The following is a 15,580-nucleotide window of genomic DNA, read 5'->3' as shown; positions in this document are numbered from 1 at the left end:
CTAAATAAGATGGCTACAAAATGAAAAGCTACATGCCTCCCTCATATTTTGTCCACAAGGAAAGTCCTTGTGAGCTGCAAGATCTTTACTCTAAGGTGTTTCTGTTAAAATTTTACCATGGCAATGTAAATTGGTAGCTTATCTTTACAGGTGTAGTCACGCCCCTGCCCAGAAGACACAAATGCATATCTTTTTTTTTTTTCTTTTTTTTTTTTTGAGACGGAGTCTCGCTTTGTCATGCTGGCTGGAGTGCAGTGGCGCGATCTTGGCTCACTGCAACCTCCACCTCCCGGGTTCAAGTGATTCTCCTGCCTCAGCCTCCCAAGTAGCTGAGATTACAGGCATCTGCCACCATGCCTGGCTAATTTTTTTTTTTTGTACTTTTAGTAGAGACAGGGTTTCACCATGTTGGCCAGGCCTGTTTCAAACTCCTGACCCCAAGTGATCTGCCTGCCTCAGCATCCCCAAATGCTAGGATTACAGGCATGAGCCACCGCGCCCGGCCACAAACGCATATCTAATTGTTCCCCTTCCCCCGTTTTGTCTATGTCATCTTATGTAAAAAAAATGCAGATTAACTGAGCCAGACAAAGGCATGAATGACTATTTTTCCTTACCCTCCTCTTACATGAAAATTGTGTACTTCTCAATATCCCTACCCTTTCCCCTTAAATTTAGAGCCCTCAAAATTATCTTCGGAGAAAGGTATAGACCTGTCTCCTGGGTGCTTATTCTTAACTTTGGCAAATAAACCTCCTAAAATGATTGAGACTTGCCATTTTTCTCGATTGACAGAACACATGAGTTCATGCAAAGTTACTGTTGGAGAAGTTTTCCTGTGGTTGTTTTTTGGAACATGTAATATGAATGAAGTGATCAAGAGTTTGAGCTGTGACTTACACTTTAGGCTATAATAGAGTAATTGGTGCGGTTAAGACTTCATCTCTCCTGGGCAGCTTTCTTGAGCTTTAGGAGACTGACTCACAATGGAGCTGAGGCTTCTTCTGTCCCTTGCTACTGATCTGTAAGTAATAAAACTGCTTCACATAATTTGTGTGTGAGTGTGTTCTGTTTCACCAGACTCAGATAAACAGGTAGCCAGTGCATGGTGGACATAAACAGTAGCTCAGAATGCAGTGGGAAGAAGTATCTGGACCTCTTTTCCTGGTGGTTGGCATAGTGATGATCTTTTCTATTCTCCATGCAGTGGAAGTCCTCCCTTTCCTCCCTTGGTATTGGTAATTAGTAAACCTGCTTCATAAACTGTGATTAATATACTAAAATCTCTAATGGAAAAGGTAGACAACATGCAAGATTAGACAGTTTCAGCAGAGATATGAAAGCTTTAAGGATGAATGAAATGGAAATAAAATAAAAATAAATTAACAAAAATAAAGAATGCATTTGACAAGCTCATCAGCAAATGTGGTACAGCCCTGGGAAGAATCAGTGAGTTTGAAATAGATCAATAAAAATTACCCAGAGTGAAACACAAAGAGAGAAAGAGAGTAAAAGTACATTAAAAAAATAAGCCTGGCACAATGTTTCACATCTGTAATCTCAGCACTTTGGGAGGCTGAGGTGGGAGGAATGCTTGAACCTAAAGAGCAGCCTGGGCAACATAAGGAGACCTTGTCTACAAAGAGAGAAAAATTAAGTGGGCAAGCATGGTGCTGGTATTCCCAGCTACTCAAGAGGCTAAGACGGGAGGACTGCCTGAGTTGGGGGCGAGGGTGGGGGATGAAGTGAGCTGTGATCGCACCACTGCATTCCAGCCTGGGCAACAGAGTGACACCCTGTCTCAAAACAAACAAACAAACAAACAAACAAACAAACAAAGGTGATGTAACCATTCAATACAGCACTGCAGCTCTTGGATGCTCTGTTTTGTTTTTCCCCTGCTCTTCTTTTCTCTTTGTATTTCACATTGGGTAATTTTTATTAGGTATCTTATTGAATTAGTTTGTTAAAAGATAAACACATTATTTCGGTTGGCTTTGCTTTTTTAACATTATATTTTGAAATAATTGTAGATTCAAAGGGAGTTACCAAGATAGAACAAAAAGATTCTGTATAGCCTTCATCCAGTTTTCCCCAATTGTAACATCTTACATAACTAAAGTGCAATATCAAAACCAGGAAATTATCCTGACATATATAGTCAAACGATTTTCAACAGGAGTGCCAGGGCCATTAAATGCGGAAAGGACAGCCTTTTCAACAATGGTGCTGGGAAAACTGGAAGTCCACATACAAAAGAATGAAACTGGACTCTTACCCTACATTATAGACAAAATGAACTCAAAATGAATCAAAGACCTAAATGTGAAAACTAAAACCATAAAACTCTTAGAAAAAAAATAGGGAAAATCTTCATGATATTTGATTAGGCAATGATTTCTTGGATATAACACCGAGGGCATAGGCAAGAAATGAAAAAAATATATATAAATTGGACTCCATCAAAATTTACAACTTCTAATTGAGGCATGGAAAACTAAATACCATATGTTTTGATTTGTAAGTAGGAGCTAAGTGGGTACTAAGCTATGGGTACTCAAAGGCATACAGAATGGTATAAAGGACAATGGAGAGTAAGAAATTGGGGAGGATGGGAAGGAGGGTGAAGGATAAAAAACTACATATTGAGTACAATGCACACTACTCAGGTAACAGGTTCACTAAAATTCCAGGCTTCACCACTATACAATTCATCCATATAACAAAAAACCACTTGTAACCTAAAAGCTATTGAATTAAAATTATATTAAAAATTAAAAAAAATTATTATTGAGCATCTACTATGTGTTCAAAACTATTTTAGATGCTATATATTTGCCACTTCATTTAATCCTTGGCATTACTCTATGGAATAGATAATATTCTCATTTTGCAGTTAAAGAAACTCATACTCAGAGAGATTAACTTGGATTTATGAGCAATGTTGACATTATAAAGTAGAGGCAGGAAGACCAGTTAGGATGCTTTTGCAGAAATTAACTTGAGTGGAATTGTCGGTCTGTGAGAATAGAAAATGAATCTTTTGGGAAGATTCTACAATGTTATTGTTTTTGCATAAGTGACTTTTTCCTCTACTCCCTCTTTTCACATGTAAAATGTAGATTTACTGAGGCTAATCAGACTCACAAGAATGTAACCACTTGTGTCATTGCCTACCTTCCCTCCTTTTTTTTTTTTTTTCCTCTCTCTTTCCCTTCCTGCTTACTCTTTCTTTTTAAACATTGAAGTTCTCAAAACCCTCTTTGGAATAAGCATTGATCACAGATGCTCCTGTGATTCGTGTTTTTCCCAGGTGCATCCTGAACCTTGGCAAAATAAACCTCTAATTGATTGAGACCTGCCTCAGTCACTTTTCGGCTTACACCAGGATTTCTTTCTTTTTAAAGCCTGAATAGAATTCCATTGTGTATACATACATTATCTTTACCCATTCATCTGCTGAATGACACAGGTTGATTTCATACCTTGACTATTGTGCATAATGCTGCAATGAACATGGGAGTGTGGATATATTTTCAACCTACTGATTTAAAATCCTTTGTCTGTATCCTGGAAGTGGGATTGCTACATCATATGGCAGTTCTATTTTAACTTTTTGAAGAACCTTCATAATGTTTTCCCTAGTGGCCATACTAATTTACATTCCCACCAACAGTGTGCAAATGTTCCCTTATCTCCACGTCCTTGTTAACACTTGTTATTTTTTGTCTTTTTGATAATAGTCATCCTGAAAAGCATGGATTGATATGTCATTGAGGTTTAAATTGAATATCTTAAGTTTTCCTATTTGAGGATATGAGTAGTCTCCCCAAAATATTACTGCTAATGTTGCTTTTTTGCATGAACCATGACCTTGAGCTGAGCTGGACACTTGAATTCTTGAGTACTTGGACATGAGCTTAAATAGGACTGAAATATTTTTTACATACCTGAATATTAGTTCTTCTCTCTACTGGTAAGAACTTGTAGAAGAAGACATTATAAAGATCTCATAGAGAGATATTTAAGGTTTGTCTGGGAATGAAGGCACATGATGACTACAAATCTAGAAGCTGGGGAAGAGTTGTCTCTGGAAATATCCCAGGCATTACTAGGGAACCAGAAGTAGAGACGAACAGATATGTTGCAAAGAGTGACATGTGTAGGTTAGCTCTGGGTGATGAAATCGTCAGTGGTCCAGCTGAGGTGATGCATGGATGAGATTGACTGGAAGAAGAAACCTGTAGAAACAGATCAGGAAACAAAGCTCCGTTGTACACACGTCCATAGCAGGCAGCCTGGGTTTTCGTCCCAGTCTTCTTCTGTTTTCAAGGGCCATTTCCATACTGCATGAGAAGCCATGAGACTGGTGGGCTCTGGACTCCTGTGCCAGAGATCACTCACCTTCCCCATTTCCCCCAAGTGTCCCAAATGCCTTGTATCATCTGATTTTCTATCTTCCTGCTAAAGCTTTTCCCATACTCCTAGTCCTTCACCCTGCGGTATCCTCCAAGTCCTTACCTGACTTCCACTATGGAGTCTCCCCATGGTTACTTGCTTGAAGGAGGCACTGTTTGAGCACAGCCTCTGAATGCTACAGACTCTCTCTTCAGACTTTCTAAATTGTCATTTTAAAGAGATAACTGTTTAAAGAGAAAAGGCCTACCTTATATGTGTCATGAAAAATTCATGTAACCGGTTACCTAAAAGTTGATATAAGAGAAATATGTAAGTAGCTTCACAAGGTTTTGAAAAATTTGGAGATAATTACTTGATAAATTTTTATTAAAGGAAAATGATATTCTGGGGCCGTATTTCTAATTATGTTACCACTGGCATTAAGGAGGCCACAGAACCTTTCTGACTCTACAGTGTTTCTTGATTCTGGAAGTAATTGCAGGACAGAGTCCTGGATAACCCTTCTGGTGACAGGATGACTCCTGTGTTTACATTCAACTGCACTGACCAGGCACAGATTCTAAGAGATGCTGACCAGGGAAGATGATTTCTCCCTTGATTCCACAAAGAAGGAGTCCACAACCTTTTTCTGCCCTGAAAGAAGAGACAATGTGCCCTGGGGAGAGTCTCCCTAGTGTAACCTTGACCCATAATAACAGCAGTGTCTTTATCCCATCTTCCCACATGGGGTGCGTGTGGTCTCATCCTAAGCGCTCTGTCCCCACAGAGGCCGGGTGGGTGATTTGGGCGAGGCATTCAGAATCAGGATGCTTGTCTGAGTTGCCTTCCTCTGGCCAGGCCAATAGTGGCTGCCCTGAGTAATGGAGCAGGGATAGGAACATTGCAAAGAACTGTAGAGAAGGCTGGATCAGGGGGACACAACTGGCAGAAGCCCCAAACCAAAGCCTTTTAGATTAGGTGTTTTTTTTTTGTTTTGTTTTGTTTTGAGACAGAGTTTTGCTCTTGTCCCCCAGGCTGGAGTGCAATGGAGTGCAGTGGTGCGAACTCAGCTCACTGCAACCTCTGCCTCCTGGGTTCAAGCGATTCGCCTGCCTCAGCCTACTGAGTAATTGAGATTACAGGCATGCACCACCACACTTGGCTAATTTTTTTTATTTTTGGTAGAGACGGGTTTCACCATGTTGGCCAGGCTGGTCTCAAATTCCTGACCTCAAGTGATCTGCCTGCCTTGGCCTCCCGAAGCGCTAGAAAATTACAGGGGTGAGCCACTGCACCTGGCCTCAGATGAGGTTTTAGCCAGTCAGAAAATGGCTCTAAGCTGACACTTTCGTTGCTAGTTGAAAAGTCTGTGTGGCCAGGTGTGGTGGCTCACACCTATAATCCCAGTGCTTTGGGAGGCCGAGGTGGGAGGATTGCTTGAGGCCAGGACATTGAAACCAACCTGGGCAACATAGCAAAATCCTATTTCTATAAAAAATTTTTAAAAAATTAGACAGAATGGCGGTGTGTGCCTGTACTCCCAGCTACTTGGGAGGCTCAGACAGGAGGATCACTTGAGCCTAAGAGGTTGAGGCTGCAGTGTGCCATGATCATGCCAGTGTACTCCAGCCTAGGTGATAGAGCCAGACCCTGTCCCTAAAAAAGAAAAGAAAAGAAAAAAGGAAAATAAAAAAAAAGGAAAAGAAAAGAAAAAAGTCTGTTTGAAGAGGCCCATGAGACTGGGGAGTCCCTAGGTTTGACGTAGACTTTGCCTCACAGCCCCAGAATAAACCTGAGGGAAGCTTCTCCCTTTGAACAGGAAGAAGGGGTGGGCCAGAGGCCTCTATTCTGAGGGACGCTGAGGTGGGGACTGAGAGGACATTGAGGGCATCTTCAGGTCCCTCTCTGCCTATTCTTTCTTGCCCCCAGTTCCGTTCTAGGTCTGAGTTTGATGTTCCTCCTTTATGCTTCCATCGCACCAGTGGAGACCCTCCTTAGACTGGGGGTTACCCTGATCCTGAGTACACCACTGCTGCTAGAAGCCCAGTAACAACGTTCCCAGTCTCAGGTGATCTAAATCTATGCACAGAATAATACAGAATATTAGAGTGGCTCAATGCTTTCATGTGCCACTATTGCAAACCTCTTGCTACCGTCTCTTCCCTGTTTCTTTTTACCTGGTAAACATATTCTGCTTTTAGATGCTCTCTATCTTCTACTTTACTAATATACAGGGAAGAGTGGGAGGAAGGGAGACAAGAAGAGAGGTGGAGATATTTATTGTCTTGGTTAGGATTACCAGTAATGTTTGTCAGGCATTGTTTTAATTGCTTTATAACCATTAGTACTATCCCTAGCCATGGGCAACGTAAGCCTGATAAGTAAGAAATTTATTTATAAAAACACATTGGTACCTCTGCCATTTTGGATTTGATGTTTAGGGCTGGCCCAATATGACCTGTAACTCTAAACATTTGCTCCATCATTAATACGATTCAGCCCCCAGGAAATTCTTCTTCACAGCTTTTGCTCTCTATCTTCAAAACTAAATGTGACTGTGTCTGAATACTGTAAAATTTGTGTATTGTGCCTTTGCTCATATCAGATGCACCTGTTTCATGGTTCAGGGAGGATTTAAGCAGCTGAAGAACTTACAAGAGAAAAGTCAACAAATACTTTCACTCGAAGAGCATGAATGCAATACCTTCTTGCATAATAAAGAATCACTTGCCAGTAGGGCTGGGTGTCAACTTTTTTTTTTCTTGTTCCTCCTATTAGCCTGATAGTTACACATAACAGTGGAGGAGGCTTTTGTAATATTAAACTAGTCATATTAATGTTAAATTTTTATATGTGAAGATCTAGATGTAAAATGCATAAAACATGATCCACATTTTGCAAAGAGAAGCCTGGGGGTGAAAAGGAGTTCAGTAATTTGTTGACTCTCATAAAGCACATTAGTGGTAGAACTGCAACTCACCATCATTTCCTTCTAAGAACTTTGCTCTTCTCACCAAAACTTAAGGCTCTTCAGAGTGTCTAATAGAAGTGAACATTTCTGTGACAATTTTCTGTTCCCTGAAATATGATCCTCACTTAATTTGCCCTACTAAAAATCCCAAGTGTAAGAACAATAGGTTGTAAGATGTCTACTCTTGAATCACATTTGTCTTTTGCTTCTTAAAACCCCTAAGCCATTCAATCTTCAGCTATTCAGAAATCTTCACCTCAAATGTTCATCTAGTGCAATTTGAAGAAGAAACAGTGCCAGGCATTGGAGTGAGAATCTTCACAGAAAAACGTCTGCCCAGAGGCAGATGAGGTCCTTCAGCTCCAGTGCTGATTGGTTCCTTTCCTAGGGACTCCCCAATCCTACCACACATGGAAACATCCAGAGGTTTTTATTCTTTCCGGCAGGTACATAAGATCCATTAGGTTTGAGCTGTGTTGACTACCACTGCTTTTTCCTTGGTCTCACTTACGTCTTGGAAGATGGCTCTGCAGATCCCTGGAGGCTTTTGGGCAGCAGCTGTGACCGTGATGCTGGTGATGCTGAGCACCCCAGTGGCTGAGGCCAGAGACTTTCCCAGTAAGTGCAGGGCAGCTGCTCTCGAGAGCCACCACTGTGGGAACAGGCTCTCCTTGGGTTGGAGTATGGGGGATGGTGATCTCCATGATCTCAGAACACAGTCTTTTATCACCATTTATTCTTTTTGGGAAATAGAGCTATGTTGCATTTTTATTTCCACCTTATAATGGGTGAGGTGAGGATAATCCAACCCCAATCCCACAGGTTTAAGCCTGAAGGAGGAGAGAGGAAAGAGGAGACAAAGTGTGCATTCACTACCTGTGACAGGACAAAATGACCATGGCACTCCACGGTTATGCATTTCCCCAAAGATATGCATTTCCCCAAAGACACAGTAGGATTTTTCTGCACTGGGAAAATGTAAGGCAGCAATGGTGTCTGTAGTCTCTGTATTGGAGGTAAAGGAGTCTATACTACTGACTCGAGTGGAGAGTTTGTGGAGGCAAACTCTTAGTACTGAGGGAAGGTGACTGGATGACCACAGACAGGGAGTCTTACTTTGGGTTTCACTGATTTATGGGCAAAAGGTGACTTGAGTGGGATTCAGGGACCTGAGTTGATGGTGGACTGAATTTAGTATGATAGGAAGGAGGAAGTAAAGAAGGGAAATAATACATATTGAGAAACCACTCCATTCAGACACAGGACAGTACTTTCTATAAATCCTCTCTCACTCCTCCTAACATCCTATGTGTAGGTATCATGATTTTCCTTTTATGTAATTATACTTGTGATATGGATATTCTGTTAAGTAACCTGCCCAAGCTGGTGATTGACTCAGTTTAATTGGACCCTATAGAATTCAAAAGCTTGGGCTCTTTCCATGAATAAATGTTTCCTTCTAGGACTCCGGAGGTGTAGGTCCTTTCTAACACAGAAGTGAGTGAACCTCACAGGGCACTTGGGCGGGTATAGCAGAAAGAGAGTAAATCCAGGCATGGGTTTACTTGGTCTCTTGCCCAGGGACCAAGAGAATACTTACATCAGGATGAGAACAAGCTTAATTCCTGAACCTTTCTCGTTATTCCCTTGAACTCTCAAATTTATGTGGATAACTCTGTCTCCGAGATTCCCAAGAGCTCCATGGAAAATGGGATTTCATACGAGAACGCCCTGATCTAAGAGCAGAGGTCAATGTTGAATCGGTCCGACTGCCCTCTTCACTTGGTTCACAGGCTCAGGCAGGGACTGGGCTTTCCCTCTTACCTCCCTAAAGGAAGGCAGATTCCCGAGGCCCTCAGAGAGGGCGGGCAGGGCTGGGGCAGAGATGCCTCGAGGATCCCAGGTCCGGAGCACGAGGCACGGGCCCAGCCAAGAACTCAATTTCGCGTGGACGGGTTTCGCAGCTGCTGGCCGGGTCAGGGCAGCGGCTGAAGGGTGCGGTCCGGCTGGGGGCTGGGGCTAGGGCCGTGCTGGGGCCTGACTGACCCGCCGTGATTCTCCGCAGAGGATTTCTTGGTCCAGTTTAAGGGCATGTGCTACTTCACCAACGGGACAGAGCGCGTGCGCGGTGTGGCCAGATACATCTATAACCGCGAGGAGTACGGGCGCTTCGACAGCGACGTTGGGGAGTTCCAGGCGGTGACCGAGCTGGGGCGGAGCATCGAGGACTGGAACAACTATAAGGACTTCTTGGAGCAGGAGCGGGCCGCGGTGGACAAGGTGTGCAGACACAACTACGAGGCGGAGCTGCGCACGACCTTGCAGCGGCAAGGTGAGCGTCGTCGTCCTTCCGCGGGGCTCACCCTTGGCCGGGGCCCGAGTCTCTTGCGCACAGAGGGGCGAGGACGGCGCGGCCTCAAGGACCGAGCCCTGATCCATCCCAGGGTACAGGAAGGTGGCGGGGATTTGGAGGCTGGGGTAGTATCGGAGGGGCGGGGATCTAGGGCAGAGCAGGGGGATGCACAAAAGCATCCCTTAGTTCCCTGCAGGGTTGGGTTAGGCTGCCCAGTGTGTCCCCAGCCTCCCCGTCCATCGGCCTTGTCCTCTGCTCTGCATGTTCTTGCCTTGTGCCTTATGCGTTTGCCTCCTCGTGCCTTACCTTCGCTAAGCAGTTCTTTCTGCCCGAATGCCCGCCCTCTTCCCCTGCCCGTCCGCCCCACTAGCACTGCCCCACCCAGCAAGGCCCACTTGCACAGCTCGCGCCGCAGGAAGCTTCAGGCTTGGCCTGGTGGAGTTAGGGCTGCTCCACAACTGCGCGCAGGGCATCCAGCAATTACAGTTGTGAAATAAGATATTTTAACTTTTGGCTTCAAATTATTATTCATCGTAATTCTGTTTTCTTAAACGGCTCTCATTCATGGCGGAGCTCTTTGAGGTGAGAGTGTTTTAATCATTGCATGCCTAGTACCTGACTCGTGGACCGGCATGTGGTATGAGCTCAATGATCTTCTGTTAAATTAATGAATAAATGTACTCAGCTGCCCATCCACTTAGGCTCAAGGGAAAGCAGAGGATAAATAGAGCCTTAAAGATGGACTTTATCAATTATTTTCTATTATTTTGCTTAATGCTGTAAACTCTTATTGACTTGGATCTTAGTAAGGTTTGTGAATGCAGTCTGGGGAAAAAGGTGTTTGCTGAAAATAAAAACAACGCTTGAATGGTGTTATAAGGCAGTTTTAATTTCTTAGAAAAGCTGAACAAATGGCACAATGAAAAGAGCAGAAGCTTTGGAATACATAGATTGAAGCCACTAAATTATTGAATAAAAATAGTTTCAGGTTGCTTTTGGAGTAGATTTTCTCCCTCCCCCCATCACTATCCACTTCAGGCATAAACATTCTGAACGTCAATTTTACCCACTTAGTGAGCACTTATTTCTAGACAATTGCCTTAGCAAACACCATCTAAGTTATGTCATTTAATAGCACAGTTACCTGTGCATTAGAGATTAGCATTGCCACTTTATATATCGTAATATTGGTACATGATAAACACTTTAAGTAATCAACCCACAGTTATGCACCAGGACCTGAAGCCTCCCCCAAATACACAGCATTCTTTTATGTTCTTCAATACTCGTCTACACAGCCTAAGGGAAGTAAAGCCTTGTTAAAGCCAATTTTGACAAGAAGCAGCAATGGGTCTATTCCTGCCTGTTTTCACTGTTAATGGGACAAAATGATACTTTCAAGGCATTGAAAATTCACTGATTAATCAATCCCTAGTCTGACCCCAGTGTTATCTATGCAGGTTCACAAAACTTCCTTGCCTTCTTCTGACCCACATCCTAATGCTGTCAATTATTTATATTTTTGCCATTTCAAGTCTATTTCTATAAAAGTTATTCTATCATTTTTTTCTCATGAATTTGTGCCCTCTATTTTTACTTTCAGTCTTTTTAAGATGAACAAATCTTGTAAGTCCCCACATAGCTGACTGTTATTTCAGTCAGACTCCAGGAAGGAGGGCCTAAAGAAAAGTTCAAGTCCAAGCAGAAACCAAGATTCCTTCCAGACAATGGCTCATGAGTGCCATTTAATTGGGGTGCTACCTGCTGACCTCAGCAAATCCCAGCTATATGTATATGTTTGCATTACAGGCACATTCACCCAGGCCAACCTCTGCATGGATCTCAGAATATTTCCTATGGAGAACGTACATGATAATGTCTGATTTCAGAACAAGAAAGTAATTCTCAATAGCAAGGGGATGGAGTAGGGTAGGCAGCTAGTAATTACACTATCTTGAGGGTTAAAAGGAAATTAAGAAAAAGCAGGAAAATGAGAGAACATATTACCAAGTAAATAAAGCATACATTAAATATTTACTATAATTTTACACTAAAGAAATAAAGGAAATGCAGTAAAATGGCCAGAGAGGTAAAGGTTAAGATGTATAAAATATGCAGGGAAAGGTGTGTCATTTTTGACCATGAGCAGCGCTCTGAGAAGATAAAGGAATTGAGTTATGGGCAAACATGATGTTTGATCAGTGTTAGTTTTTTTCAAGGCCTGCCTACTTTTCCTTCAAATATTACAAACTTTTGAAATAACATTCAATTTTTTGGTCTCTGTTACTAGATTGCAAGTTCTATAAAGGCAGGAACCAGGGTTTGTTGTTTATTTTTGGATTCTCAGTGATTGTCAAATTTATATTTGTTGAAGGAACCTTAATCCAAGACTTGGACTCCAGGTATCTTTCTATTCTGGTTCCAAGGAGGGACCTTCCTCACAGCAGGCGTGCTGTGTGGTCTCACATCTCACTCCTATATCTTTCCCTGTCTGTTACTGCCCTCAGTGGAGCCCACAGTGACCATCTCCCCATCCAGGACAGAGGCCCTCAACCACCACAACCTGCTGGTCTGCTCGGTGACAGATTTCTATCCAGCCCAGATCAAAGTCCGGTGGTTTCGGAATGACCAGGAGGAGACAGCCGGTGTTGTGTCCACCTCCCTCATTAGGAATGGTGACTGGACCTTCCAGATTCTGGTGATGCTGGAAATAACTCCCCAGCGTGGAGACATCTACACCTGCCAAGTGGAGCACCCCAGCCTCCAGAGCCCCATCACCGTGGAGTGGCGTAAGGGGAAACTGGTTTCCTTTTACTGTGGGCCCCACAAGACAAAGGGCAGAGCTCCCGCTGATCCTTCCCATCCCATCTCTTGTCCCTGACATCACTACTGAGCTGGGAATCACAGGAGACTAGAGCACCTGTTGCCCCATGGCAAGCACATCAGATGAATCCTGATCTCTTTGTCTTTCCAGATACCAGGGAGATCACTTTCCACATTTGTGTTAGTCCATTCTTGTACTGCTACAAAGAAATCTCTGAGACTGAGTAATTTATAAAGAAAAGAGGTTTAATTGGCTCTTCTCACTCCACTATAAAGAAATACCTGAGAATGGGTAATTTATAAAGAGAAGAGGTTTAATTGGCTTATGATTCTGAGGCTGTAGGGGAAGCATAGTGGCTTCTGCTTATGGGGAGACATATGGAAGCTCCTAATCATGGCAGAAGGAAAAGAGGGAGTGAGGTGTCTCACAGGGCAGGGGCAGGAGCATGAGAGAGAGGGGGTTGGTGCTACGCAGTTTTACATAACCAGATCTCATGAGAACTCACTATTGTAATGACAGTACTAAGGGAGATGGTGACAAGAATCTGGTCTAATGATCCAGTCACCTCCCACCAGGCTCTACCTCCAACATTGTTAATTACAATTGAACATGAAATTTGGGTGGGGCCACAGAATCAAACCATATCAACACTACTAAAGCCCCAGAACCAGCTCTGACAGCTATGAGAGACTGACTTAGGGCTGGTGACTGGGGCCTTAGGGTTTAAGGTTATGGATGAAGTCCTGAGGGGCAGGGGTGTGCTTCTTCCTCTCCCTCACCCACCTATTGTGTCCAAAGACCTACTGGCTGGTCTTTCTCTTCCCTAGGGTGGTCAGACTGGAGAACTAGTGTCCCCTGACATCTCCACCTCCTGTACCAAGGACATTATGGGGTGTGGGGACAAACACTCACACTCAGTTCTGCTCCTTAGGGGCTCAGTCTGAATCTGCCCAGAGCAAGATGCTGAGTGGCATTGGAGGCTTCGTGCTGGGGCTGATCTTCCTCGGGCTGGGCCTTATCATCCGTCACAGGGGTCAGAAAGGTGAGGAACCCAAGGGGGAAATGGGGAAGATGAGCTGTGACCCAGACCCTCTATTCAGAGAGGTTCTGTCTCTAGATGTAGCTCTTTCCTCCTTACCCTGAGAGGAAGTGCGAGGAGACAGGACAAGATTGGAGGAGGCATTGGAATCTGATTTTACTGGGTGAATGGTAGCGCTGCCAGAGCTGACTGATAGAGCTTATTCCAGGGCGTCCTTACCGTTCATCATCGTCTCACTGGCTCCTTTCTAAAAGCTTCCTCCATTATGAGGGTCAGAGCCTCGGCCTCCTTGTCTTCTAGTGACAATTTCCTTTGTTTTGGGGGATTTTAACTTAGGGTGCTTAAGGACTTAAAGAACATGGGAGGGAAGAGGATATAACCCCAATTAAACTACATGTGTCATTTTCCTTTGGGGTAAGATAGTGGTTGTTTGTTTAACAAGACCTTTCTCTGTATAACTTCCTTTTGTAGGACCTCGAGGGCCTCCACCAGCAGGTAATATTTCAGCCATGATCCAGTCAGGGGAGAGGGCACAGGCATAAGAGGGAAGAGCCATGGTGAAACCGCATCTCTACTAAAAATACAAAAATTAGCTGGACGTGGTGGTGTGCATCTGTAATCCCGGCTACTTGGGAGGTTGAGGCAAGAGAATCACTTGAACCCAGGAGGCAGAGGTTGCAGTGAGCCAAGATGGCGCCACTGCACTCCAGTCTGGGCGATAGAGCTAGAGTCTGTCTCAAAAAAAAAAAAGAAGAGCATGAGCGGAGTGTTCCAGGGCACAGTGGTCTCTGTTCATGGCCTGTTTGCTGCTATGAGGGTTAAGACTTAGGGGAAAAGTTTGCCAGTTTCTACGAATCTCCAGAGATTGTTTCCTAGAACCAGGCCTTAACTTTGGTGGCATCTTTTTGTGAAATGTGGGGACAGAGCCACATCTTGAATGTGAGATAGTAGGGTGATGCCCACTTTGTGCCACATTTTGTTAGCTACTGCCTGTAGGCATTTTCAGTGACTAAAAGAGGCTGCTAGTGGTGGAGATGAAGTGTCACCCAATTTACTAAAAAAATCAAACTCTTCATATTACCCAGAAGGGTAACTGCTGTTCCCCCACCTCCACATATCTGCATCAAGCTGAAGTTCTGTGTCCTCATGAGCTGATTTTACCTTTACACAGATATTGGGGAACGTGATGATGATATGCCCTGGACCTCAGCATCCTCTGTTTGATGCTACAGAGGGAACTGAGGACTAGGGGAGAGGGTGTGTCCCTCAGGGTACCCTGTGCTGATCATGCCTCGTCTCTCTTCTCCAGGACTCCTGCACTGACTCCTGAGGACTTTTGTCTGGGATTGGTCATCACTCTTCTGTAATGCCCACCTGCCCCTGCCCAGAATTCCTAGCTGCCTGTGTCACCCTGTCCCACTGAGGTCAGAGTCCTACAGTGGCTCATGCAGCCACAGGTCACCTTCTGTGATCCCCATCCCAAGGCACTGGTGGTGACTCTGCTTCCTGCACTGACCCAGAGCCTCTGCCTGTGCACTGCAAGCTGTGTCTACTCAGGCCCCAAGGGGCATCTCTGTTTCCATTCTCCCCCCACAGACCTGTCAAGAGAAGCATGACAAACAAAATCATTTACCTGACTTTAGTGCTTTTTCCCATAATTAAACCTGATTCTGAGTTATCTGTATTCGGAACTTCCTTAACTAAGCAGAGGTAGGAAACCACTGCCAAGTGAAGGAACATACCTTGAGGTGACCCAGCCAAACCGTGGCTAGAAAGAGGGTTGTACTTTGAAAAGACACTGAAAGCATCTTGGGGTGCAAAGTAAGGGTAGGCAGAGGAGGTAGAAAATCAATTCAGTCATCACATCATTCATGGTTCTTTAATATTGATGTTCAGTGCAATGGCCTTAGGACATCCCAGCCTCTCTTCTGGTTTGGCGAGTGTTGTCTAAGTAAGCATGGTGGAATTGTTTGGGGACAACTATAGTGACTGATG

The 15,580-nt window shown here is 43.9% G+C and overlaps 1 protein-coding gene across 5 annotated transcripts; it reads left to right on the top strand.

Annotated features, from left to right (window-relative positions):
* The first annotated feature begins 7,828 nt into the window (after positions 1-7,828).
* HLA-DQB2 (major histocompatibility complex, class II, DQ beta 2) lies at positions 7,829-15,263 on the top strand. 5 transcript variants are annotated; one of them, NM_001300790.2, is made up of 6 exons: positions 7,829-7,987; positions 9,435-9,701; positions 12,230-12,511; positions 13,478-13,588; positions 14,057-14,080; positions 14,895-15,263. In NM_001300790.2, exons 1-6 carry the CDS (start codon positions 7,891-7,893, stop codon positions 14,906-14,908), a joined length of 795 nt encoding a protein of 264 aa, NP_001287719.1. In that variant the 5' UTR covers positions 7,829-7,890; the 3' UTR covers positions 14,909-15,263. The 5 variants fall into 5 exon arrangements, with proteins under 5 accessions (NP_001287719.1, NP_001185787.1, XP_011512862.1 ...); NM_001198858.2 differs by lacking the exon at positions 13,478-13,588; XM_011514560.3 differs by lacking the exon at positions 14,057-14,080.
* Positions 15,264-15,580: the final 317 nt, after the last annotated feature.

This window comes from Homo sapiens, chromosome 6 (genome assembly GCF_000001405.40).
Source record: "Homo sapiens chromosome 6, GRCh38.p14 Primary Assembly".
In the NCBI taxonomy this organism is placed as follows: domain Eukaryota; kingdom Metazoa; phylum Chordata; class Mammalia; order Primates; family Hominidae; genus Homo; species Homo sapiens.
This window is presented reverse-complemented; position numbering and strand designations above follow the sequence as displayed.